Source organism: Homo sapiens, chromosome 2 (assembly GCF_000001405.40).
Source record: "Homo sapiens chromosome 2, GRCh38.p14 Primary Assembly".
Lineage (NCBI taxonomy): Eukaryota > Metazoa > Chordata > Mammalia > Primates > Hominidae > Homo > Homo sapiens.
This window is the reverse complement of record NC_000002.12, coordinates 33,939,402-33,965,970: the sequence shown is the minus strand read 5'-3', so window position 1 is coordinate 33,965,970 and position 26,569 is coordinate 33,939,402. Positions and strand designations below refer to the sequence as shown.

Here is a 26,569-nt window from a genome sequence, read left to right as displayed (position 1 = left end):
AAATGTTTTATGTATCTTATAATAGAGAACCTTCAACACAACTCTTCTGCAGAAATATCAGACCTTCAAGAAATTAAAGCGAAATCAAAGTGACTACCTTTATTTTTTTCAAATATTGCCATTGTAAATGGCAATATCATTCACGTGAGAGCGTCATACATTTTGGCGATTCAGATGCTAAAGGAGGTTAGCTACCTCTTTAAAGCATTTCTGCACCTTAAATGCTCAGGGGCAGTACCAGCTGTAGTCACTTGATTGCAGCAATGGGGTGTGCTCTCTCTGAAGTTTAATACAGCACCTGCTCAAAGGTCAAGCCAAGTTGACCACACATTCTGCTCCTCCTATCTTTTGCTTTGAAGACAAGTATATACGAACTATTTTTTTAATGTGCTTTAACAGATTTGAGACAAGATTCTAAACTTGTTTTACTCTCTTTAATGTATTTTAAAGTCTTTTTAGGTATTTTTCCTCTTTTGGGGGGTCTAAAATGTGCTGTCAAATCTACAAGGGTTTTTTAGCAATATATTTTTTTCTTCCTAGTTGTACAGATCAAATTTCTCTCACCGAAGGACGAATTCTGAGGAGAGAAAAAGACACAGGATGTCCATCTCTGTCCTGCTACTTACTCTTTCTCATCATAGAACTATTATTCCTAGGAAGCATAAAGCCCTGTGTTTTTATTTATGAACATTTTACACTGTATTCTTTTTCCATCCTCTGCCTGTTACCAAGTTCCAAAGTTGCTTTCACATTTTCGGGTATCTTTAAAGAAGAACACCACTCCCTGTAGAACCAATTTACTGTATTAGTCCATTTTCATACTGCTATAAAGAACTGCCCCAGACTGGGGAATTTATAAAAGAAAGAGATTTAGTTGACTCACAGTTCAGCGTGGTTGGGAGCACCCAGGAAACTTACAATCATGGTGGAAGGTGAAGGGGAAAGCAAGACACATTCCTCGCAAAGCGACAGGAAGAAGTGCTAAGCAAAGGAGGAAGAGCCCTTTATAAAACCATCAGATCCCGCAATAACGTAAGAATGAACTCACTATCACGATAACAGCATGGGGGAAACCACCTCCATGATTCAATTAAAGAACTCAAATGCTTTCTTAATTGGTGGCTGCATTTAGGCCATTACCTCCACCTGGTCTCTCCCTTGACACATGGGGATTGTGGGGATTACAATTCAAGATGAGATTTAGCTGGAGACACAAAGCCTAACAGTATCAATTCTCTAGGAACGGACGAAAACAACGCTATCCTTACAGTTATCAAAGTAGGAGTTGCCAAATTACCTTGAATGTGGTTTTTAAAAGATTACATGGCCTATGGACATAGAAAGTAGAAGATGGTTACCAGAGGCTGGGAAGGGTAGTGGGGGGCTGGAGGGAGGTGAGGATGGCTAATGGGTACAAAAAATAGAAAGAATGAACAAGACCTACTATTTGATGGTACAACAGGGTGACTATTGTCAATAGTAACTTAATCGTATTTTTTATTTTAATTACATGGCCTGACAGCCTGTAGTGTTTTTGACTTTTTTAAAGAAACAGATAACAACACTCATATGACACCAGTAGTTCCCAAGCATTGGGAATTTACCATGGACCCTATTTAAAATATTTAACAGGCCAGGTGCGGTGGCTCACGCCTGTAATCCCAGCACTTTGGGAAGCCAAAGCAGGCAGATCACGAGGTCAGGAGATCGAGACCATCCTGGTCAACATGGTGAAACCCCCATCTCTACTAAACATAAAAAAATTAGCTGGGCATGGTGGCACATGCCTGTAATCCCAGCTACTCAGGAGGCTGAGGCAGGAGAACCACTTGAACCAGGGAGTTGAAGGTTGCAGTGAGCCGAGATGGTGCCACAGCACTTCAGCCTGGCTGGTGACACAGAGAGACTCTGTCTCAGGAAGAAAAGAAAAAAAAAAAAAAAAAAAAAAAAAAAAAATATATATATATATATATATATATATATATATTTAACAGCTGGTAAAGTATGAGCAGTCAGAAAGTATCCTGGTGACCCCAGCTATGACAGGGACTAACCCTGTAGATACTTAATTTTGAGGAGGTCTAGGGTCCCAAGAAAGGGGATTGGGTGGCCAGAGTGGGTGTGAAGGCAGGCAATTAAGGCATAGTTATTTAATAATAACTTTATTTCAGTAGTTTCATGGCCAGTACAGCTGTAGATGCTTAGCATTTACAAGTCCTAGAATATACCAATTAGTGATTTTTTTTAACTGGGTGATTTTTTTTTTAATTAGTGATTTTTTTTTTACAATATATGGTATCAACTTTTCTTTTGTCAAGTGAGAATATTTAAAAAGGCAAAAATGTAAGTACTGCCTTCTGTTACCATCATTTCATAAAAGACAAATTTAAAACCAGGTAAGTAAATAGAAGGCAATCATAAAGACATTTTTAATGGAATGAGTTTACCCTTATGAAAAACTTACAACATTGACTTTATTTTTTGTAATTTCTCTACTGACTTGAGAAAATTTAATCACTGATCTGCCTCTGTCCACAGAGAAACCTTCACCTGATTTTTTTTAAGCGCCAGTTTAAAGTGAAGAAGTGTCTCACCCTGGAAGATACTATATGAACAGAAAATCTGAACAGGTCAATAACCAGAAGATGAATTAGTTTCATCACAAGGATATTAAACATTGATCATTATTTATTGAAGAAATGCCAAATATGGCCCAACTTCCATTTGCTTTGTGCTCACAAATCTAGTGTCAAATTAAGGATTTCAATCTCTTTTTATCTCAATCAGAATATGTTTGTTTTATTGCTGATTCTTTGTAAGGCATAATCAATATTTTTTACAGTACAACTACAAAACTACTAGCTCTTACAGAAACTCCATTTCAGCACACACATGAGTTCACGGTGGTACAATATTAATAGTTTTACTCTGGAAAGGATGTACAATATAAGCTGATGTGCTTCGAAACAGAATTTATGGGGATTAGGGATGCTTTCTCTCTAACTAGGTGAATGTTTGCATTCCACACTATAAGCATTTCCAAAAGGAAAGCAAAAAACTGAAAGTTTTCACATGTTTAATTTAAAAGCAGTTTCTTTATATTCATTCAAACTCAGGTCAACTTCCCTAGTAATAATACCCAATATTCTGAAATCCAACTAGGGGATCACTTTTTACATTAACTGATATGAAATTATAAATACATTTGCATGGAGAAGCATAGAATTCTTATTCTTAATGAGAACTGAAATACACATAATTAAAGAAAGTTAATTTCATATGATACCCACAATTATATGCATGATGGCTAATCTCATATTGTATATTAGAAGTAAATGCTCAGCCAGGTATGGTGGCTTACGCCTGTAATCCCAGCACTTTGGGGGGCCGAGGTGAGTGGATCACCTGAGGCCAGGAGTTCGAGACCAGCCTAGCCAAAATGGTGAAACCCCATCTCTACTAAAAATACAAAAAAAAAAAAAAAAAATTAGCTGGTTATGGTGGCAGGCACCTGTAATCCCAGCTACTTGGGAGGCTGAGACAGGAGAATCACTTGAACCTGGGAGGCAGAGGTTGCAGTGAGCTGAGATCGCACCACTGAACTCCAGCCTGGGTGACAAGAGGGAAACTCCAGCTCAAAAAAAAAAAAAAAGAAGTAAATGCTGTTCCTTCTTACAGAAATAATGAGATCCAGAGACCTTTCCCTTTCTTTAACTGAATCTGTTCTCAACTAGGACAACTTTAAACTATTTACCCCTAGTTGTCCATGTTGACATTCTAACGCGTGATTTCCAAAACATACTTTGATACTTTCGGTGTCATAATTAGTTCAAAAATGAGGTGTACTGAACCATCACTCATTATTATTTTTATTCTTTCCTACTCTGGGTATGATCTTTCTCTTCCTTCTCCTTAAAGAAAACTTAGGATAAACGTGTTCCAAAGGGAACTGTGGTTATTATATTAATTTTTAGTGCAATTAGCAAAGATTCAAGAAAACATCTCCCAATAGAATGATCGCATCACGCAGGAGTGCAATCCTTGGCTGGCTTAGTCAAACTACAACTGGTGCTTAATCCACACAAATATGCAGAGGCTGTCTCTTTGCTATTCTTTAACTATAAGAACTGAATCACATAAATACAATTTGATCTGTTAATTTTTACAAAATGTATAAGAAGAAATGAATGACCATTCTTTCCGACTGGACACATTACCATAAGCCTTTTCTAAAATTTCACAGCAACCACACAGTCAAAGGGTGTTGCTATAACCCATGAACTAAATGAAATGATGGGACAGAAATTTGATCGTGGTCTCCTTCTCCAGTCTCTATCTTAAATGATGTCTTCCCATTATTTTTTTCCAGAAGTATAACTTCCCTGTAGAATCATCTCTTTCCCTTAGGAGGGGGGTGGGGTATCAATATCTTTCCTACTAACTATGTCCAGAGCCTGATTGACCATTATTTTACTCCACCTCCATAGCTAAACTGTCCTCAGAAGTGTTTCTAACAAAGCTTTTTTTCCCCTGTAGTGATCATTTCACGGCTTCACTCACTGGACTTCTTAGTTTTTCCGTTTTGTTTTGTTTTGAGACAGAGTCTCACTCTGTCGCCCAGGCTGGAGTGCAGTGGGGCGATCTCGGCTCACTGCAAGCTCCTCCCAGGTTCACGACATTCTCCTGCCTCAGCCTCCAGAGTAGCTGGGACTACAGGCCCCAGCCACCATGCCCCGCTAATTTTCTGTATTTTTAGTAGAGACGAGGTTTCACCGTGTTAACCGGGATGGTCTCCATCTCCTGACATCGTGATCCGCCCGCCTCGGCCTCCCAAAGTGCTGGGATTACAGGCGCGAGCCACCACGCCCGGCCTGGACTTTTTAGTTTTATAACTAATTCCCATTCTCCTTTTCAACAATCACTCCACTTGTAAATAAATGAGAAAACTTGGACATTTCAGATTCCTTTGGCAACATTTTAAAAAAATTTTAGTACCTTTTCTTCAACCTGATTTAAAGCAATAAATGTTCTATTGTTTGAAACAGCTAAATCGACCTAAGCACTCATTTTTAGAGTTATTTTATAACTAGTGGCATGTCCGGACATAAGTTGGCCTGGCTGAGATCACGTTCGTGTAAGTTGCTGGTTACTTGATGTACCTATTTCAGACTACAGGATATTGACTAGTGATCTGCGAAGGATCTCACAGCCCACACATAGCTAATCAAACTGATATTTTTAAGACTTTATATGTGTAATAAATTATAAAAGCGCTACAAGTTTTGTTGTTGTTTAGAAATGACTGAATCCATATGTGGAATAAGAGCTATCTAAAATTTGCTAGGAAGCTAACTTAAGCATGATTAAAATCTGCAGGGTAGGTTATATATTTAAAATAGGCAATTCTGCCAGCAAATTGCCTATGGACTCAAACTGCAACTCTTCTCTGGGTCTTCCCATACATGGCAAGTTCAAGTTCAAAGTCTGCAGGCTAGGCCATATATATCCCCACACATGCACACACACACATATATATATACTATATATCTTATACTGTGTATAATACAGAGACAGACAGATAGCCACTGATGAGTGGGCTTCAGAACCAGATGATGTAAGTTTGTGCTGAATGAGATATCTTCTTGGATTTCCTAATTTGATAAGCAGGTCAAAACATGGGGATGGATTTTGAGAAGGGATTCGGAGGGAAGAAAATCCTTAATCGCTCTTGTTTTTCCTTTTTTTTCATCGCTCCTGCCAATTGCAGGTTATCACCATTTGCAGTGTCACTGAAATGAGATGTAATAATGCAGTTGTAAAATGCCACATGAAAACAGTGTCTTAAGGAGAGCTGTATATTCCTTCCCTACTTAAAAGATAACGTAGGCTCTTAACAAAACTGGTAGCAGCAGGCAGGCTTGCCTAGAAGTTTTTTTGCCTATACTTCTTTATATGTCAACCAGTCATAAGCAGGCTGCCTGTTAATGTTTTGTATTCACAAATTAAGATGTTTAAAGTGTTTGTTTTAGAGAACTAGTTTGAAAAGGACTGGGAAGAATGTGCTTATGTTCAGTAACACAAAGCAGATAGCACAAACACTCAGGCAGTCTGGATCAATCGATGACCTTGGTGCCATTTTCAATATGTTTTTTGTGACTGAATTAAACCGTCTCAGAAAGAAGGGATGAGACTTAGCTCCCTTGTCCTCATTAATGCTGAAAGCAGAAAGCTGTGTTTCTCAGCTGCATTACTTTAACCCCCTCCAAAGAAATACGTGTTCATGGATTATCTTTTAATGATTGGAGGATCAAAATGAGGACTGGTCATGTAATGAACATTTCTGTTTCTATCAATAGATGACTATTAAATAATATTGTCTATTTGATTGTTCACCTTTCCTAGTATAAATCTCCATGGGAAAACTAGTAGTAATAAACTGGGATTTATAAAAATGTATCTCCTCTGAAAACTTAGCCGTGGCTTCTTCCTCTTCTTTTTTCTTCCTCCTCTACTTCTTCACCCACCTTTTTTGCAATGACTCTCAGAAAACTCAAGTCTAAATTTATTTTTAAAAAATTCAATAATGACCGGGTGCGGTGGCTCATGCCTGTAATCCCAGAACTTTGGGAGGAGTAAGACGTTGTTTCAAACAAACAACAACGACAACAAAAAGTAACTATAGGAGCCTAGGCTTTTGTTAAATTTGTGTTTCCAAATAGCTATATGGTTTGAATTTTATTTCTATTTTAACACACATATTTTATATGTCTTTTATAGTAGCACTCTCAAGTTCTCAGACAGATAAACAGCATTTGTAAACTAACATATGCTTAAAAATCAAGCCATCTGCAATGGTAATAAACGTTTTCTTATTCCTGTAGTAAGAATTTCACAGCTCTATTCTTTGGGCTTTTTAGCTTTATGACCATAATTCCCATGATCCTTTCATCATTTACTTGTGCTCTGCCCAAATCATCTCAAATCCTTCTATTGCCCTCTCCCAGGTGTGTGGTCTTTTTCTTCTAATGGTTTGTATCACAGACTCTCGAAGAATTGCTCTGTGGTTACGAGAGCCGTTTTGACAGCTCACACACAACTGGAAGTGCCTGGAAATTTACATCCCTCTGGAGTGGCCCTTAGCCAATGACTGATTAAAACCTAGCTCCTTTGCCTCCAGTTGGAACAGACTGTAAAGTACAATTTACACCTCAGAGCTTCCTGCTCCAGCAGGCTGGGGCTTCATCTGAAATCACACATTTGCAGCACTGCTTCTCCTTTGTCATACTTTCCTCATTCCCTTACTGGTTACTCTTGCGAACACTTCCTTAATAGATTGCCTGCACACGAATCCTCTCAAGGTTTGTGTCTAGTGAACTTGCCCCAAGATGCCATTTATTGAGTTTGAATCTTCTCTTTGTTTCTCTCTCTCTCTCACACACACACACACACACACACACACTCTCTCTCTCTCTCTCAACACTGAATGTAGAAAAACACAAAGAAAATTAATTGTTTAAGCTAATTAAAGCATAGAAACATTCAATGTAGAACTACATAACTGACCCACTTTTAGGGTACTCAATAACACATACTTATTGGAAAACGTCAACTTCTTTGGGATATTGTTGATAAAGATTCACTACTTACAGTAGGAGGACTAAGGACAGAGGAGAGGCTTTGGAGTCAAACAAATCTTAATTTGAATCCTGCCCATTCCACTCATCAGATTTTGGATTAGTCAGGGTTCAGGGTTCTCCAGAGAAGTGAGTGTGTGTGTGTGTGTGTGTGTGTGTGTGTGTGTGTGTGTGTGTGTGTCTTCCATTAGCATATAGGAAAATAATGTCCACATGGTAGGAGACAAGATCTCAACAAAGACTGCAACTCCTAGCCTTTTACATATGAGTCCTATGTGAATAAAAGAATTGAGGCCGGGCACAGTGGCTCACACCTGTAATCCCAGCACTTTGGGAGGCTGAGACAGGCAGATCACGAGGTCCTGAGTTTGAGAGCAGCTTGGCAACATAGTGAAACCCCGTCTCTACTAAAAATTAGCTGGGCATGGTGGCGGGCGCCTGTAATCCCAGGTACTTGGGAGGCTGAGGCAGGAGAATCTGGGAAGCTGGGATTCTCCTGCCTCAGCCTCCCAAGTAGCTGGGATTACAGGCTCCTTAAAGCCAGGAGGCGGAGGTTGCAGTGAGCCGAGATTGCACCACTGCACTCCAGCCCGGGTGACAGTGCGAGACTCCATCTCAAAAATAAAATAAAAGAATTGAGCTGTAGAGGACAGAATCCTCAATTGAAAAGGAGTACACCAAAAGAGAGAAGGATGAATGAAACTTAATTTTCACCTGTTAAATCCATTAACTACAAACCTTCTTTTTTTTTTTTGAGATGGAGTCTCGCTCTATCGCCCAGGCTGGAGTGCAGTGGCGCTATATTGGCTGACTGCAAACTCCATCTCCCAGGTTCACGCCATTCTCCCGCCTCAGCCTCCCGAGTAGCTGGGACTACAGGTGCCCGCCACTGCACCCGGCTAATTTTTTGTATTTTTAGTAGAGACGGGGTTTCACTGTGTTAGCCAGGATGGTCTCGATCTCCTGACCTCGTGATCCACCCGCCTCAGCCTCCCAAAGTGTTGGGATTACAGGCGTGAGCCACCGTGCCAGCTACAAACTTCATCCATGAACACAGAGCTTCCAATAAGCTTCATTAGTATATTAGTCTCAAATATGAGAAGTCCCGCTCTGGCAAGAAAACATAAAAAAATACAAATGATGTAAAGAATATTAATATTAATATTCTCAAAATGACAAGAAAAGTTATTGTATTCATGAAATAGGACAAGGATAATTGCTATCCTAAGAAAACAACTGGAGAAAGAGAAAGAGCCCTTGGATATTAAAAGTAAGATAACAAATATATCAATAGAAGTATGGAAAGATAATATTGAGGAAATCTTACAGAAAATATAAAGAGAAAGAGAAAATAGGCGAGAAAGAATACAGAATCTAGGAATTCAACCCAGAAAGTCGAATATCACATTAAGAAGGCTTTTCAGAAAAAAAAAAAAAAAAAAGGACAAAGAAATGGGAGAAAAATATAATTAAGGAAGAAAACATTCAAAAAATTTTCTAGAGCATAAAGTTGCAATTTTCCGAATTGAAAGACTCCACTGAGTGCTCTGCACTGTGAATGTAAGAAGCGTCATATAAGGCACATTATAGTGGAAGTCTGAAGTACAATTATGAAAAGATCCTAAAGGTTTTCAAAGAGAAAAAAGCTAGATACATTCAAAGAATCTGGGGTTAGAATGATCAAATTTATCAATAAAAAAATACTGGAAGCTAGAAGACAACAGAGGAATGCCTTCTACATTAGGGGAGAAACCTAGAATTTATATAAAACCAAATATCAATTATATGAGAAGGTAGAATATAGACATAATCAGGCATGCAAGGTCTCATGATTTCTCTCCCATGCTGTTTTTCTCAGCTAGTGACTAAAGAATTGCTTTGGCAAAAATAGAGGACAGAAATAAGGAAAAGACATGGAATCCCAAAATGTGGGATTAAATGTAGGAATCAAAAGAATTCAAAGGATCATGGTATAAGGAAGTCTTAAGGTGACACTTGTACAACAGGCTTAGGGAGGAACTGGTCCAGACAACAGCAAGAGGTTGGAGGTTTCTGAAAGAATGCCTCCAACAACTAAATGTGTGACCTTAAAATAATTGATATGGTTGTTGTGTAGAGAATAAGCAACAGGGAGCAGCAATGGAAGCAGGAGGTGACTGCGGTTTTCCAGTTGAGGGGTAATGATGGCTTGCACTGGAATTCTATAAAGGAGGACCTGATCTAGGATATGTTGCCAAGGTAGAACTGATGAGATGTATTGAGGTATTAGATGAGAAGTGAAGAAACACAGAGGCACTGCCAGCACCTTGATTTGTAGCCTGAGCCCTTGGGTGAATGAGGATGCCCTTACTGAAATGGGGATGGGTTGGGGAGAAGCAAGTTTGGATATTTGGGGATGAGGAAAATCCAGATATGTGTTTTAGTTGTGTAAATTCCTAGATTCACATTAGAATTACAAGTAGAAATATCAAGCTGTGGTCAGATATATGTGGCAGAGAGGACATAAATCTGTAATAAAAGCTGAGGTACTGGGTGAGAGTGTAGATAAAGAGGCCAAGGACTGAATCCCAAGGCAGCTCAATATTTCCAGGGAGGAAAGAGAAGGCAAGGAAAGAGAAAAATCAGAGGCTAATGTCCTACATGCCAATCAGAAAAAAAAATGTACTAGAAGAAAAAGGGACTGATCATGTCAAATCAGATATGAAGATTAAGGTTAACCATTAGATTTGTCAAGGTGGTGGTCATTTTAGTCCAGTTTGAGTAAAGTGGTAAGCTAAGAGCTTAATCAGAGTAGGCTAAAGGGGAAATAGATATGAGGAAAGGGAGACAGCAAACAAGATCATTATTTTGGGGAGTTTTGCCAGAAAAGAAGCAGATATTAAAGCAGGAGCTAAAAAGGGGCACAAGGTCCAAGAACTTTAATAGAAAAAAATGAATATTATGTTTATATCCTGAATGGAGTAATCTAGTGGGCAGAGTAGAAAGACAAATGATGCTATAGATGGGATTGGAGAAGGAACGTCCTTCAGCAGGTGAGAGAGATGGACTTGCTTGAGATAAGTACTGACAAAAGTCCTGGCACCACAACCGCAGGGAAGGCAGGAGCGGACAAAGGGAAGAAGGCGAGAGCATGAGCAGGTCCTTTTCTGTTTCCTCTGATTGTATCATCAGAGGAAAGCCTTGACAGCATCAGCTGACATAAGCAGAAGACGAGGATTGGAATTTGAGGAGCGAGAAGGTACGAAACAATAACTTGAAGAGCAGGAGAGTGGATGCACTTTCATGAGGAAGGGTTGCCAGGCACTGCTGAGGGCTCCCTTTATTATTATTTTTTTTTATTTTTGTAATAATTCCATCATGGAAAAGTGGATATTCGTCCCCTCAAGCATTTATCCTTTGTGTTACAAACTATCCAATTATAATCTTTTATCTTTAAATATACAGTTAAATTATTGACTATAGTCATTCTGTTGTGCTATCAAATATTAGGCCTTATTCATTCATTCAAACCACTTTTTATACCCATTAACCATCCTCAGCTCCCTTCCACTACCTTTCCCATCTCTCTGATAACCGTCCTTCTTCTCTCTATGTACATGGGTTCAATTGTTTTGATTTTTAGATCCCACAAATAAGTGAGGATATACCATGTTTGTTGTTCTGTGCCTGGCTTATTTCACTTAACGTAATGACCTCCAGTTCCACCCATGTTGTTGCAAATGACTGAATCTCATTCTTCATGGCTGAATAGTGCTTTATCATGTATATAAGTACCAGATTTTCTTTATCAATGGATATCTGTTGATAGGCACTTAGGTTGCTTCCAATCTCTTAAGATGTGCAAATGTGAATTTAAAATAAGAGCAATCCAAACAGTTGTATGTTTTTCTCCAGCCAGGTCCAGCTGCTCTACTTTGGGCCTAGAGTTGGTACACAGTTTGTTTTCATAGAGTATGAAATCTTACAGGACTATAGAATAGAGATGAGCAAAGGAATTAAAGATGTATAAAAGGCATAACTATAATGACAAGTCATTGACCCTAACCTGGGGTGGGGAGATAAATGGGACCAGGAAGTGGATGATATGTGATTTTAAAAAGTGGACAGGATCAAAGAGTTATGGAGTGAGGGAGCAGGGGATCAGAAGGAGTAAGTGGCAAAAATATGACATGCCCTCAGAGCCTGGTGGTGCCACCACTGGTAATGGCCAGATCGAGGGTGTGACCATAGGACTAAATGGTGAAATGTCCACCAGGAGTATGGATCTAATAAACCAGATGCAAAAATCTTCAAATAGTGGTCAGATGATTAAACAAGGAAAATATTTTTCTTGGCACACACACTTTATTTTTAAAGTAGAGATGGGGTCTCACTTTGTTGCTCAGGCTGGTCTTAAACTCCTGGACTTCAGCAATCCTCCTGCCTCAGCCTCCCAAAGTGCTGGTATTACAAGCATGAGCCACCATGCCTGGCCAACACACACACTTTTTAATGCACTCTGTAAGAGGTTTCGTTAGCATCCATTTTAAAACTCTGCTTATCTAATGAATTAAATTGAGGCAATAAAAATAATATTTTATAAATATTAAAATGCACCATATTGATTTTCTTCACTCTCTGAATTTAAGTCATTAAGTTTTATTTGTCCCAGTGAAAGAAAGAGTAAACAATGAGGCCACTGATCTCCTTTGAGTCTCAGAGTTGGTTTTCTTGACCCCTTTGGTGAGACAATGGTCTTGAAAGTAGAGGCTTTGTGTTCTAGTTTCATTCATGCGCAGCATGTATCAGAATTAATTCCCTTTGAATAATATTCCATTGTGTGCGTATTCCACATTTTTGTTTCTCCATTCATCTGTTGATGAATATCTTTCAGCTATTGTGAAAAAATGTGGCTATTAAGCCAGACACAGAAGCATAAATATTGTAATGATTCCACTTGTACAAGGTACCTGGAATAGTCAAATTCATAGAATTAGAAAGTAGAATGGTGGTTATCAGGGGCTGGGGGAAAAGGCCATAGAGAGCTAGTGTTTTCTTCAATACACAATTTCAGTTTGGGATGATGAAATGGTTCTCAAGATGGACAGTGGTAATGGTTGCACAACAATGTGAATGCACTTAATACCACCAAAGTGTACATGAGAAAACATTTGAAATACTAAACTTTATGTCACATATACTTTACCACAAATAATCTCATGAAAAAGAGGGCTTATGAAGGGAGGGAAAATGTCTTAATAAAATAATCCAACTCCCACTTTGGGAGGCCGAGGCAGGCAGATCACGAGGTCAAGAGATCCAAGACCATCCTGGCCAACATGGTGAAACCCCGTCTCTACTAAAAATACAAAAATTAGCTGGGCATGGTGGCGTGCACCTGTAGTCCCAGCTACTCAGGAAGCTGAGGCAGGAGAATCGGTTGAACCTGGGAGGCAGAGGTTGCAGTGAGCCGAGATCACGCCAGTGCACTCCAGCCTGGGTGACAGAGCGAGACTCCATTTCAAAAATAAATAAATACAGAAAATAATAATAATAATAATAATCCAACACCACCCTCCACACCCTGCCCCCGCTGAGTGCTGCTCATTCTTAAACACATCAATAGGTAGAATTGGCAAACTGCAGCACAGAGGTTTCCTGTAGAGAAGTCTATTGAAGACAGGAGGAAGAAGGGAGAAAAGCTACCTTTTCCTGAACCAATGGCCTGTGGGAAGAAGAAAAGAGAGACTGGTGGAAGAGATAGGGAGGGAGGCAGCTGTGCCTTGACCTCTCTCCCTGGGCCTTGACCCTTGGTGGAAATGATATTAAATAAACTCAATAGAACAGTGAGGCCAGGAGCCTTTTGCCAACATTACTCTACATTTTTAAGAGATTACAAATTGTGGAAGTTGGACTGGGAGTATATACTTTAAATTCAGGAGAGAGTGCCTATACGTTGGAGAGTGAGAAGGAGAAATAATAATAACAAAATAAATAAGGATCTATACTAACTAATCATTTAAATGTACCATGAATTACAGAATATAATCAACCTACTTCTGAAGTAAATTAAAAATATACCATACTACCAAATTAAATTATCAGTTCTCTTTTAATTTCTGACTTACACATATGGACTTGTGAAGAATCAGGTAAGTTATATATAAAATAAAATGATGGCCGGGCACAGTGGCTCACGCCTGTAAGCCCAGAACTTTGGGAGGCTGAGGTGGGCGGATCACGAGGTCAAGAGATAGAGACCATCCTGGCCAACATGGTGAAACCCCATCTCTATAAAAAACACAAAAAATTAGCTGGGCATGGTGTTACACGCCTGTAGTCCCAGCTACCTGGGAGGCTGAGGCAGGATAATTGCTTGAACCCAGGAGGTGGAGGTTGCAGCGAGCCGAGATCACACCACTGCACTCCAGCCTGGTGATAGAGCGAGACTCTGTTTCAAAAAAAGAAAGATATATCATTTGCTGTCTGAGAATAGTGTGACCAAAATTTGTGACTGTCCTAAGTTTGGTGACTAAATTTTTGTGACAATTGATATTATTAAGATTTTAAAACTAAAATAAGCACTACATTGTCTAAAGTCACAGTGTAATGCATCAGCTAGTCACGCTTGGTCTTAGCACTAACCAGCCACAATGAAGCCACTGGATCCACTTGGACGCAAATGCCAAGCTACTTCAATGCCACTGAAGGAGCCTGGCTGATATAGTTTGGCTGTGTCCCCACCCAAATCTCATGTTGAACTGTAGCTCCCATAATTACCATGTGTTGTGGGAGGGACCTGGTGGGAGATAATTGAATTATGGAGGTGGCTTCCCCCATACTGTTCTCGTGCTTGTGAATAAGTCTGATGGTTTTATAAAGGGTTTCCCTTTTCATTTGGCTCTCATTTTCTCTCGGCTCTCATTTTCTCTTGCCTGCCACCATGTAAGATGTGCTTTTCGTCCTCTGCCATGACTGTGAGGCCTCCCCAGCCATGTGGAACTGTGAGTCCATTAAATCTCTTTTTCTTTATAAATTACCCAGTCTCAGGTATGTCTTCATCAGTAGCATGAAAACAGACTAATACACTGGCCTTCTAGCCTCAGCCAAGCAAAAGGAGTATGTCTTATGAATTTGGATGTGGGTGGGAAATGTGATAAGAAAATGAAAACCACGTAGAACATGGCCAGATTAGAAACAGCTATCCAAAGCTTGTTCACTCCTTTTGGAAAAATGGAAGTCAGGATGGGACAAATATTGATTTACCAGGAAAGTTCAAAAATAATCTTAAAAGACTATTACCTGTAGACTGTGGGTATCAGAAAGCTGTTAGATAAGAATGAGTGATCCCATTATAGTTCAAAATAATGGTTATCATGGACATATATTTCTGACTAATCAGAAACGTGTTGTTGTGTGAATGATGGGTGCAAATCTCTCATATGCTGAACAATATCTCCAGGAGAATAACGAAGTGTTATCTGGAATAAAAATTCAGGCAAATTTAACAAGCGCTCCTTAAGTGTATAGATAAAAGGAGCTCTGGATTGAATGTCAGGTTGAAACTTAAACAAGACACAAAAGTTAACAAGAATCTAGGTAATATAGCATAGTGGCTAAGAACAAAACCTTTGGAACTAAGCCATTCTCTGGGTTTCTAATCTTATTAATGATGTAAGCCTGTGCTAGTGATCCACCCTCTCCAAAATTCAGGTTCTTCACCCATAAAACAAATAATATGATTCCAGGACCAAGAATAAAGGGATAACAAAACACTCAGTAATCAAGATAAATATATATATTTTATTTTATATATATATATATATATATATATATGTCTTGCTCTGCCTCCCGGGTTCACACCATTCTCCTGCCTCAGCCTCCCAGTAGCTGGGACTACAGGTGCTCACCACCATGCCTGGCTAATTTTTTGTATTTTTAATACAGACGGGTTTTCACTGTGTTAGCCAGGATGGTCTCCATCTACTGACCTCGTGGTCTACTCACCTCGGCCTCCCAAAGTGCTGGGATTACAGGTGTGAGCCACCGTGCCCAGCCTATAATATAATTTATATAAGAAGGCGATAAATTCTATGAGCAAAAAAAAAAAAAAAAAAGCAAAATGAGAGAGATTGGGAATCTGGGTGGGTGTGTGAGGGGGTTAAAATTTTAAATAAGATGGTTAGAGTAAACCTCACTGGGAAGTTGATATTTGAAGGAACTGAGGGAGTTAGCTATGCAGAAAAAGCATTCCAAGCAGGGCAAATCCTCTAATGAGGAATATACTTGGCATGTTCAAGAAACAATAAGGTCACTTATTAGCATGAGAGTGAGCATGAACAACATAGGACATGAGAGCAGAAAGGTAATCGGGAAGGAGAATGAGAGATAGATGATGTAGGACCTGGCAAATCATCATAACAACTTTGTTTTTTGTTGGTGGTGGTGGTACTTGGAGATGGGGTCTTGCTCTGTCACCCAGGTTGAAGTGCAGTGATGCTCAATCATAGCTTACTACGGCTTCTAACTCGTGGGCTCCAGTGATCCTCCTGCCTGAGCCTCCTGAGAAGCTGGGACTATAGGCACTAGCCACCACACCCACCTCACTGTAAAAACTTTGGCTTTTACTTTGAGGAAAATGTTGAGAACAGGAATGATATGATCTGACTTGTGAATAAAGAGGATAACTCTGGCTGATGTGTTTGGGGTGGTAGCAGGTGCAGGTATTGAGAAATACACACAATCTGGATATATTTTGAAGGTAAATCCAACATATTTCCTAAGCAATTGTTTGCACAGTACCAAAGACAAACATTGAGAATACTCCCAAAGCTTTTGGCTCAAGCAAGTGGATGAATGGAGTGGCAATCAACTGAAATGGGGAAGGCTGAAGATGGAACACATGTGGGAAGGAATATTAGGAGTTTTGAGTATGTTAAGTTTGACATTTATTTAACATCCAAGCAGAGATGTCATGTAGACAGTCATCTGGAGTTCAGACTGATTTTAATGTTAATCTGTGAGTTAACTACATGTTCATGCACAGTTTTTAAGTCATGAGGCAGATGAGATCATCACAACAGTAAGTTTAGATAGAGAATAGGACAGGAGCCTAGGAGTACTTGGGAATTAAAAATCAAAATATCTATAATTTAAATGAATAGAAATATCAAACATTTGTGAGCATATGGAACAATTGGAACTCTCTTAAATTGTTGATAGGAGAACACATTAGTACAGCCACTTTGGAAAAATGTTAGACAGCACCTATAAAACCTGAATATACATTTAATTTATGACCCCACTATTCCACTCCTAGGTAAAAAAAACCCAACATTAATAAATGCTGTATTCAACAAAAGACTTCTATAAGAATGTTTATAGCATTTTTATTTGCATTATCCAAAAATTGAAAAGAAAAATCCACAAATATCTATCAACAGTAGGTAGAATGGATATGTGAATCACAATATATTCAAACAATGGAATACTACCCAGCAATGAACAAGGAAGAACTATTGATGCATGAAACAACAAGTATAAATCTCACAGACATAATGTTGAGTGAAGGAAATCAGACAAAGAAGAACACATACTATATTGTTCTCTTAGTATTGTGTTCAAGAACAGGCAAAATTAGGCCATAATGACAGTGGTAAGAATAGCAGGTAAACTTTGTACTGTCTAGGAAGGAACATGAGAGAGACACCCGGAATGTTGTAAATGTTCTACATCTTAATGTAGGTGGTGATTACATAAGTAGCATCTTCATACTTAAGCTATATACACTCTGCTATGGCCAGGCGCGGTGGCTCACGCCTGTAATCCCAGCACTTTGGAAGGCTGAGACGGGTGGATCACGAGGTCAGGAGATCGAGACCATCCTGGCTAACACGGTGAAACCCCGTCTCTACTAAAAATACAAAAAAATTAGCCCGGCGTGGTGACGGGTGCCTGTAGTCCCAGCTATTTGGGAGGGTGAGGCAGGAGAATGGCATGAACCCGGGAGGCGGAGCTTGCAGTGAGCCGAGATTGCACCACTGCACTCCAGCCTGGGCGACAGAGTGAGACTCTGTCTCAAAAAAAACAGAAAAGAAAGATATATACACTCTGCTGTATGTAAGTAATCCCTCAGGAAAACAAACAAACAAAAATCAGAAAAGGATGGCTCAGCAAACAAAACTAAAAAGAGTTATCAATAAGGTGAGAGAAAAAAACAAGATTCTTGTACACTATAAGCCAAGAAAAGAAAGTGGAATAAAGATAAGGGAGTAATCTACTGCCAGATGTTGTGGATTAACATGAAGGCTGACAAATAGCCATTGGATTTAGCAGCGTAGGTCATTAGCAACTTTCATAAGAGTAGTTCGGTAGAGTGGTGAGCACAAAAGCTTGACTGGTATAGGTTTTTAGATTACAAATAAAGGAATTGAGTCAACAAAGGCAGATAGATGAGTCTTTTAGAATTTTGTTGAAAAGGTAAGCCAAAGAAATAGGGTGAAGGAAGTGTTGTTGCTTTTTCTTTCTTTTTCTTTTTTTTTTTTTTTTTTTTTTTTGAGACAGAATCTTGTTCTGTCTCCCAGGCTGGAGTGCAATGGCGCGATCTTGGCTCACTGCAACCTCCACCTCCTGGGTTCAAGCGATTCTCCTGCCTCAGCCTCCCAAGTAGCTGGGATTACAGGCACCTGCCATCATGCCCAGCTGATTTTTGTATTTTTGTAGAGACAGGGTTTCACCATATTGACCAGGCTGGTCTTGAACTCCTGGCCTCAGGTGATCTGCCCACCTTGGCCTCCCACGGTGCTGGGATTACAGGCGTAAGCCACCATGCTCAGCCTGCTTTTTTTAAGTGAGAAAAATATCTGCATTTTTATATACTATTGGAAATGATCTGGTAAAGAGGAAATAATTATAAATTAAGAAAGAAAAAGAATTATAGGCGAGTCCATGAGAAGGTGAGAGAAGCTGACATCTAGTGTACATATGGAAAGAGTGGTTTTCTTCTTCTTTTTTTTTTTTTTTTTTTTTGAGACAGAGTCTTGCTCTGTTGCCCAGGCTGGAGTGCAGTGGCGTGAATTTGGCTCACTGCAAGCTCCACCTCCCGGGTTCACACCATTCTCCTGCCTCACCCTCCCAAATAGCTGGGACTACAGCCACTCGCCATCATGCCCGGCTAATTTTTTTTTGTATTTTTTAGTAGAGACGGGGTTTCACCACGTTAGCCAGGATGGTCTCGATCTCCTGACCTCGTGATCCACCCGCCTTGGCCTCCCAAAGTGTTGGGATTACTGGGATTACAGGCGTGAGCCACCGCACCCAGCCAGGAGTGGTTTTCTATAAGAGTGTGGACACTACATTCACAGTAACAATGCAGAAATTAGTATATGTCCATGTAGATGCTGGTAGATGAGTAGATGTAGTTATGGAGTGTGAGATGTTCTCTTCTGATTGCTTCAGTTCAATTTTCCCAGTACAGTAAGAGCAAGGTCTTAATCTCAGAATGAAGATGTGCTAGGTTTGAGAAGAGAAGGAAAGGTATGAAATAGTATCTAAAGGGGCCAGGCATGGTGGCTCATGCCTGTAATCCCAGCACTTTGGGAGGCCGAGGCAGGTGGATCACTTGAGGCCAGGAGTTTGAGACCAGCCTGGACAACATGGCGAAACATTGTCGCTACTAAAAATACAAAAATTAGCTGGGCATGGTGGCACACACCTGTAATTCCAGCCAATAGGGGGGCTGAAGCAAGAGAACAGCTTGAGCCCAGGAGGCGGAGGTTGCAGTGAGCTGAGATCATGTTACTGCACTCCAGCCTGGGTGATAGAAGTGAAACCCTCATCTAAAGGAATGAGAGAATAATTGGACTAAAGAAATGTAGCATGACTGCCATGACTGCCAGGCAGCATTAAAAGCCAGTTTAGGATCCATGTCATGAATTTGATTTGAGGTCAGCTGGTATGGTTGAGTAAACAGAGTTGGAATTTAAGTCAGAGTTGTGGTTTCGCCAAGTAGAACAAGGTCGGTGAGGTCATGGCAGTGTTTACCTGGTCTGTGGGGTCCTAAGTGATCTGGATCAACTCTCCGAGTGGATTATCTACTCCAGCCACATTGGACTGGTCATCTTTCTGTTCTCAAAAGCACACACTCTCCCACTCTAAGGCCTTTGTGCTTATTATTTCTCTTACTTCAATCTGTCTTCCTCTGACTCAGAATCTTTCCTAATCCTGGGTCTCAGCTCTAAAGTTCTATTCCCAGAAGCCCCTTCCTAGACTACCTTCGTTCTTATCATATCACCTTCTTCATTTATTTTTAGCACTCATGAGTATCTAAAACATACTCAGCCCTTCATTTGCTCACTATCTGTCTCTTCCCTAATAGTAGAATGTAAGCTCTCAGAGCAAAGACTACAACTGTAATGTTCATTGCTGGATTCAATGCCTAGAACAACACCTGGGATGGATCAGGACAAAGATAATTGTTTCTTAATTGAATATATTAATTATGATTTTTTTTCTTAAAGATATTATGATCTGGCTGGGGAATTAGAGATACATGCAAGTAAAATAAAATTTCTTTCTTATTTTTTTTTTAGACAGAGTCTTACTCTGTTGCCCAGGCTGGAGTGCAGTGGCACAATCTCTGCTCACTGCAACCTCCACTGCCTGGGTTCATGCTATTCTCCTGCCTCAGCCTCCCGAGTAGCTGGGACTACAGGTGCCCACCACCACACCCATCTAATTTTTTTTTTTATTTTTTAGTGGAGACGGGGTTTCACTATGTTAGCCAGGATGGTCTCGATCTCCTGACCTCGTGATCTGCCCACCTTGGACTCCCAAAGTGCTGGGATTACAGGCATGAGCCACCGCACCCAGCTGTAAAATAAGATTTCTAAAGCTTCATAGCTCACCAGGGAATTCTTGTGTTGAAAAGCAGGGTCTAATCAGGAAATGCATGTTTACCCCAGGAATCCTAGAGATTCAATGCACTGTGTCCAGAACTTGTTTTATGCAACTTTCTAAAGAAAATTATAAGCTAGGCGTGGTGGCTCACGCCTGTAATTGCAGCACTTTGGGAGGCCGAGGTGGGCAGATCACGAGGTCAGGAGATCGAGTCCATCCTGACTAACACGGTGAAACACCGTCTCTACTAAAAAATACAAAAAATTAGCCAGGCGTAGTGGCAAGCGCCTGTACTCCTGGCTACTCGGAAGGCTGAGGCAGGAGAATGGCGTGAACCCGGGAGGCAGGGCTTGCAGTGAGCCAAGATTGTGCCACTACACTCCAGCCTGGGCGACAGAGCGAGACTCCATCTCAAAAAAGAAAAGAAAAGAAAATTATAACAGAATATTTAATATGATATCTCTCCCCCGCCCCAATCCATCTGAATAAAAACTAAGTAAATGTTAGAGCAGCTGTATTCAATATGCAAAATTATGATTATTCCTGCTCCAAGGCAAGTAAAAAGCAACACAATATTTTCCATTTTAAAAAAATGTATTTCATTTCAGAATACTCTTCCTACAGATTATTTTTTAAATGCCTTTATTTAGTCATTTTCTTGTTCTCAGTTTTTCGCTCAAAAATTCTGTCATTTCTCTGATGTGTTCATTTTAGCTGCAAACACCTAATCAGAATTTTAAGGAGAATTAGTAGGTTGGCTAACTTTCAGAAAGAAATACTAGTGGTGTTTTCAACAGGCCGGCAGAATGTCTCCAATTATAAAGACGGAGGAAATAAAAACAACAGGATGGTAAAATCCATTGAGGGACAGATTGCATTTTATAGGAAGAGATGTAACTTCATTTACCTTCGGTCTTTATGTCTTGCAAATGTGCTCAGCACTCCTACATCCCATGGGTCTCAGCGTCAATATTTATGTGCTGGAATACTTCATTGCCTCATAAACCAGGAGGTAACTGAGTATTTTCACTCTCTGGGAAAAAAAAAATGGGTTATACTAGGTAGTTTCCAACAGCTCCACTTCTCACTCATACTTCTATGCATTGACTTGCAAGAAGACACAAAGCTAGATAAATGAGAAGCGTTGATCTTTTTCTTCTTGCTCCTTGAATTAGACGTTAACCATTTCTAATTTCTCGTTAAACGTTATTCAGCTCCAACCAAAATTTCAATCATGGATAACCTAGGGGTAAAGGCTTGAAGCTTTTTTAAATTTTGTTTTAATGTAAATTTCAAAAGTCTTTATGGGGGATGTCCTAGTACCTTAAACAGCAAATTCAGATTCAAAGTTGATGTCCTTCCAAAAAGAAACACAGAGGACTTCTAAATAAATGATCCCTAAAAGACTTTTAAAAATATCGACAAACATTGCATTCAATATCCAGAAACAGTGAGTATTTCTCAATGGAGAATCACTCACCTCATGAAGAGTCCTCATGTGGAGTCCCAGATTACAAGCCTCCTTTCTCAATTCCACAGAGGGTTCTCAGTCTTTAAGTATCATACATCCAAGTTACCTGGATGCTTACCCTCTGGTTTCTGCTCCAAAGCCCTTCATTCCATCAATATTTTTCATCTGTATTAAATTTGAGAGCAGAATGCAGGCTCCTGACAGGAATGAGCTCATACATCTAATAGGTGGTCATGTCATCTACCAACCAAACCAGTCTCCCAATAAATAAGCTGTTTTCCATACTGTGTTCTACAGACTTGTATTCTATGGGATGTTTTCTCTCCCTGTGTCTCCCTATCTGTCTCCCCACTTCCTTCTTTTCTCTCTTCCTCTCTTTTATACAAACACACACACATACACAAAGGAGTTTGTAATGAAATAAGCTTGAAAGATGTAGACTTAAAGTAGTTCTATTTGTTAGATGATATCTCAAAGCATATATGTTAATATGCATTATGAATCTCCAAAAAAGTGATACAGGAGGTAGTGTTTTCCAAATATACTTGAGCACGGATCATTTTTTTCAAGGAATGTTCTTTATTGTCACAACAATTATTTCTTGAGCTACTACTATATGTCCTCTGTTGATTTTCCTAAGTGCATACGAAGATAAATAAGACAGATTTCCTGCCCTAAAGAAGCTTATAATTCAATGAACATACCACATTCTCCACAACTGTGCTCTCTAGAAAGGTAGCCACCACCCACATGTGGCTATTTTAGTAAACAAATAACATTAAAAACTCTCAGTTCTTTTGTCCCACTAGTCACATTGCAAGTTCTTAATGACCACATACTGGCTACTGCTGCCATACTGGATGGTGCAGTTATACAACATTTCCTTATTTCCATTGCAGATATTCTATTGGACAGAGGTGCTCTAAGCACTACCTTATTTGTATTAATCATACACTAATAAGCATGACATTTCACTTTTTATATATTTTTTCCTTGAAAGACTACAAACTTTTTCAGATCTCATACAATCACAGTCATCTTCTTATTGCAGTTTTAAAAATTCACTCAGATTGCTAGAAATTATTTCTAGTTCTGTTAATTTATTCTTGCAGTGGGTTGTTTTGGACGTAATCTGTTACCTAATTTCAAGGGCATTGACATGAGTTTACAATCAGACCAACTCTATGGTTGGTCTAATCTGATCTGATTTTACAGATCCTAAAATCAGAGATTTCAGAGTCTGCAAAAGCACCTAGATGTTATTTAATCCTATTCTCCCAATTTTGTAAAGTAGCAATTAAAGCTCAGAGTCATTAGGAACTCACACTGGTTTACAAAGATGTTAAGTAGCAGGGCCCCTTGGATTCATCTAAGTAAAATTTAGTGGCTGTATACAACTCCCTGAGCCTTATATATTGTCCTCAGAAGGAATAAATTGTGGCATAGCACACTGCTGGATAACAAGTACACCTGTACAAAGACAGGATTTTTCTGTTGATATTCCTATGCTAATGATGTAAAATGGAGCTCATCTCCATGAGATTATTATCATAGGCATTAACTTTTACTGAAACTCTGTGGGTATCATAAATGATAAGCCTTATAGAGAAATATTTGCTCAATTACAAAGTGTGTGTGCATAGGGTGTTTACACGTGTGCACTTGTATGCATATGTGTGCAGAATCAGGAGAAAGGATGTGTTTTTTTTAACTTTTATTTTAAGTTCAGGGGTACATATGCAGATTTGTTACAGAGGTAAACTTGTGTCATGGGAATTTGTTGTACAGATTATTTCATCACCCAGGTATTAAGCCTAGTACCCATTAGTTATTTTTCCTGATCCTCTCTGTTCTCTCCCACCCTCCACCCTCTGACAGGCCCCAGTGTCTACTGTTCCCCTCTATGTGTCCATGTGTTCTCATCATTTAGCTCTCAGTTATAAGTGAGAACATGTGGTATTTGGTTTTCTGTTCCTGCATTAGTTTGCTTCCCGCTCCATCCATGTCCCTCCAAAGAACAGGATCTAGTTCTTTTTTATGGCTGCATAGTATTCCATGGGGTATATGTACCACATTTTCTTTATCCAGTCTATCATAAATGGGCACTTAGGTTGATTCCATGTCTTTGCTAGTGTGAATAGTGCTGCAATGAATATATGAGTGCGTGTGTCTTCATAATGGAACAATTTCTATTCCTTTGAATATATACCCAATAATGGGATTGCTGGGTCAAACGGTATTTCCGTCTTAAGGAAATCCAGCAGCACATCAAAAAGCTTATCTAGGCCAGGTGCAGTGGATCACACCTGTAATCCTAACACTCTGGGAGGCTGAGGCAGGCTTATCACAAGGTAAAGAGATTGAGACCATTCTGGCCAACATGGTGAAACCCCGTCTGTACTAAAAATACAAAAATTAGCTGAGTGTGGTGGCATGCACCTGTAGTCCCAGTTAGGAGGCTGAGACAGGAAAATTGCTTCAACCTGGGAGGCAGGGGTTGCAGTGAGCTGAGATCATGCCACTACACTCCAGCCTGGTGACAGAGTGAGACTCCATCTCAAAAAAAAAAAAAAAAAAAAAAAAAGCTTATCCATCACAATCAAGTAGGCTTTATCCCTGGAATACAAGGTTGATTCAACATATACAAATGAATAAATATGATTAATCACAAACAAAACTAATGAGTTTTTGTTGTTGTTGTTGTTGTTTTGTTTGTTTGTTTGTTTTGAAGCAGAGTCTCACTCTGTTGCCCAGGCTGGAGTGCAGTGGTGCAATCATGGCTTACTACAGCCTTGACCTTCGGACCTAGGCTCAAGCAATCCTCCCACCTCAGCCTCCTGAGCAGATGGGACTACAGGCACATGCACCACCACGCCCAGCTAATTTTTGTTTTTCTGGTGGAGACAGGGTTTCACCATGTTGCCCAGGCTGGTCTTGAACTCCTGGGCTCAAGCAATTCAGTTGCCTTGGCCTCCCAAAGTGCTGGGATTATAGCCGCACTCTACTCCTCAGGACCAATTTTCTGTCTTAGTCCATTCGTGTTGCTATGAAGAAATATCTAGGCAGGGTGCGGTGGCTCACACCTGTAATCCCAGCAGTTTGGGAGGCCGCGGCAGGCGGATCACTTGAGGTCAGGAGTTCAAGACTAGCCTGGCGAACATGATGAAGCCCCATCTCTACTAAAAATACAAAAAAGTAGCTGGGCGTGGTGGTGGGCACCTGTAATCCCAGCTACTCAGGAGGCTGAGGCAGGAGGATTGCTTGAACCCAGGAGGCAGAGGTGGCAGTGAGCTGAGATTGCACCATTGCACTGCAGCCTGGATGACAGAGTGCGACTTCATCTCAAAATATATACATATATATATATATGTGTATATATATATATATATATGTGTGTGTGTGTGTATATATATATATATATATGTGTGTGTATATATATATATATATATATCTATATCTATATCTATATCTGAGGCTGGGTAATTTATAAAGAAAAGGAGTTTATTTGCTTTACAGTTCTGCAGGCTGTGCAAGAAGCACAGTACCGGCAGCTGCTTCCGGGAAGGATTTCAGACTGCTGCCATTCCTGGTGGAAGGCAAAGGGGAGCTGGCATGTTCAGAAGTCACACGATGAGACAGCAGAAGCAGGGGGTGGGTAGTTCTAGACCCTTTTTAACAATCATTTTTCTAGGGAACTAATATAGCAAGAACTTACTCATTACCACAAGGATGGCACCAAGACATTCATGACGGATCCACCCCCATAACCCAAACTCCTTCCATTAGACCCCCAACTTCCAACATTGGGAATCAAATTTCAACATGATATTTTGAGAGGACAAATATCCAAACAATATCAGATGAATATGTTTTTAAAAGAAGCAAGACATTTGGCAAGTCTGCCTCAATTTTTTGACAGATGGAAAGTGTCTTTCATCTTAGCAATACCATATAAATGTAGTATAGTCTCTGGACAGTTGAAATTATGTGTTCTGTTGATGAGACTTATGAGATGGCTGCCCAGAAAAATAACAAAAAGCAGAAGAGCCTCAAGGGGCACATCTGGAAATTGAGTTGCATGCATTGAAGAATACAGAAATACTTCTGGGGACTTAAAAATTGAACACTAACAATTATTGAGATTTTTTTTACCTTAAAGCAGACACCTGTGCGAAGTGAATTTTTACATAAAACTTAAGGTTATTGGCTAGTAAATACTATTGCAAATAAAGAAATCTTTTCAGCCTCTTTGATCCAGAAGAAAAAGAGGTGAAAGACCCCTTTCATATAAAAGGGCTATGGATTAACTTAGAGAGTTTTAAAACCCATCTTCCTTGACATATATGAAACTTGCGGCCCCAAGAAAGAAGCAGCTGCTGATATTGGATTGCGTGCCCATCCATGTTCCTTTCATTTCCCAGGGCAAGCATAGATCTCCAAGTCAGCAAAATGAGGAACTCTGCTCTCACATCCAGTTTCTAGAGCTGAGTGGAAAGACAGAAATGGGGTCTCTGTGGAAAAATCAGGAAAATTATAGGAAACATACAAATAAAATTTTATTGCTCTCCATCAGTGCAAGTTCATTTCA

At 39.7% G+C, this 26,569-nt stretch overlaps 1 long non-coding RNA gene across 1 annotated transcript in view; it reads right to left on the bottom strand.

Annotated features, from left to right (window-relative positions):
- The window catches only part of LINC01317 (long intergenic non-protein coding RNA 1317), a 590,861-nt gene that overhangs the window by 331,776 nt on the left and 232,516 nt on the right, over window positions 1–26,569 (bottom strand). The window contains exon 4 of the long non-coding RNA NR_126403.1: window positions 21,418–21,543. This is a non-coding gene — a long non-coding RNA (long intergenic non-protein coding RNA 1317). The remainder of the gene's footprint in view (window positions 1–21,417; window positions 21,544–26,569) is intronic.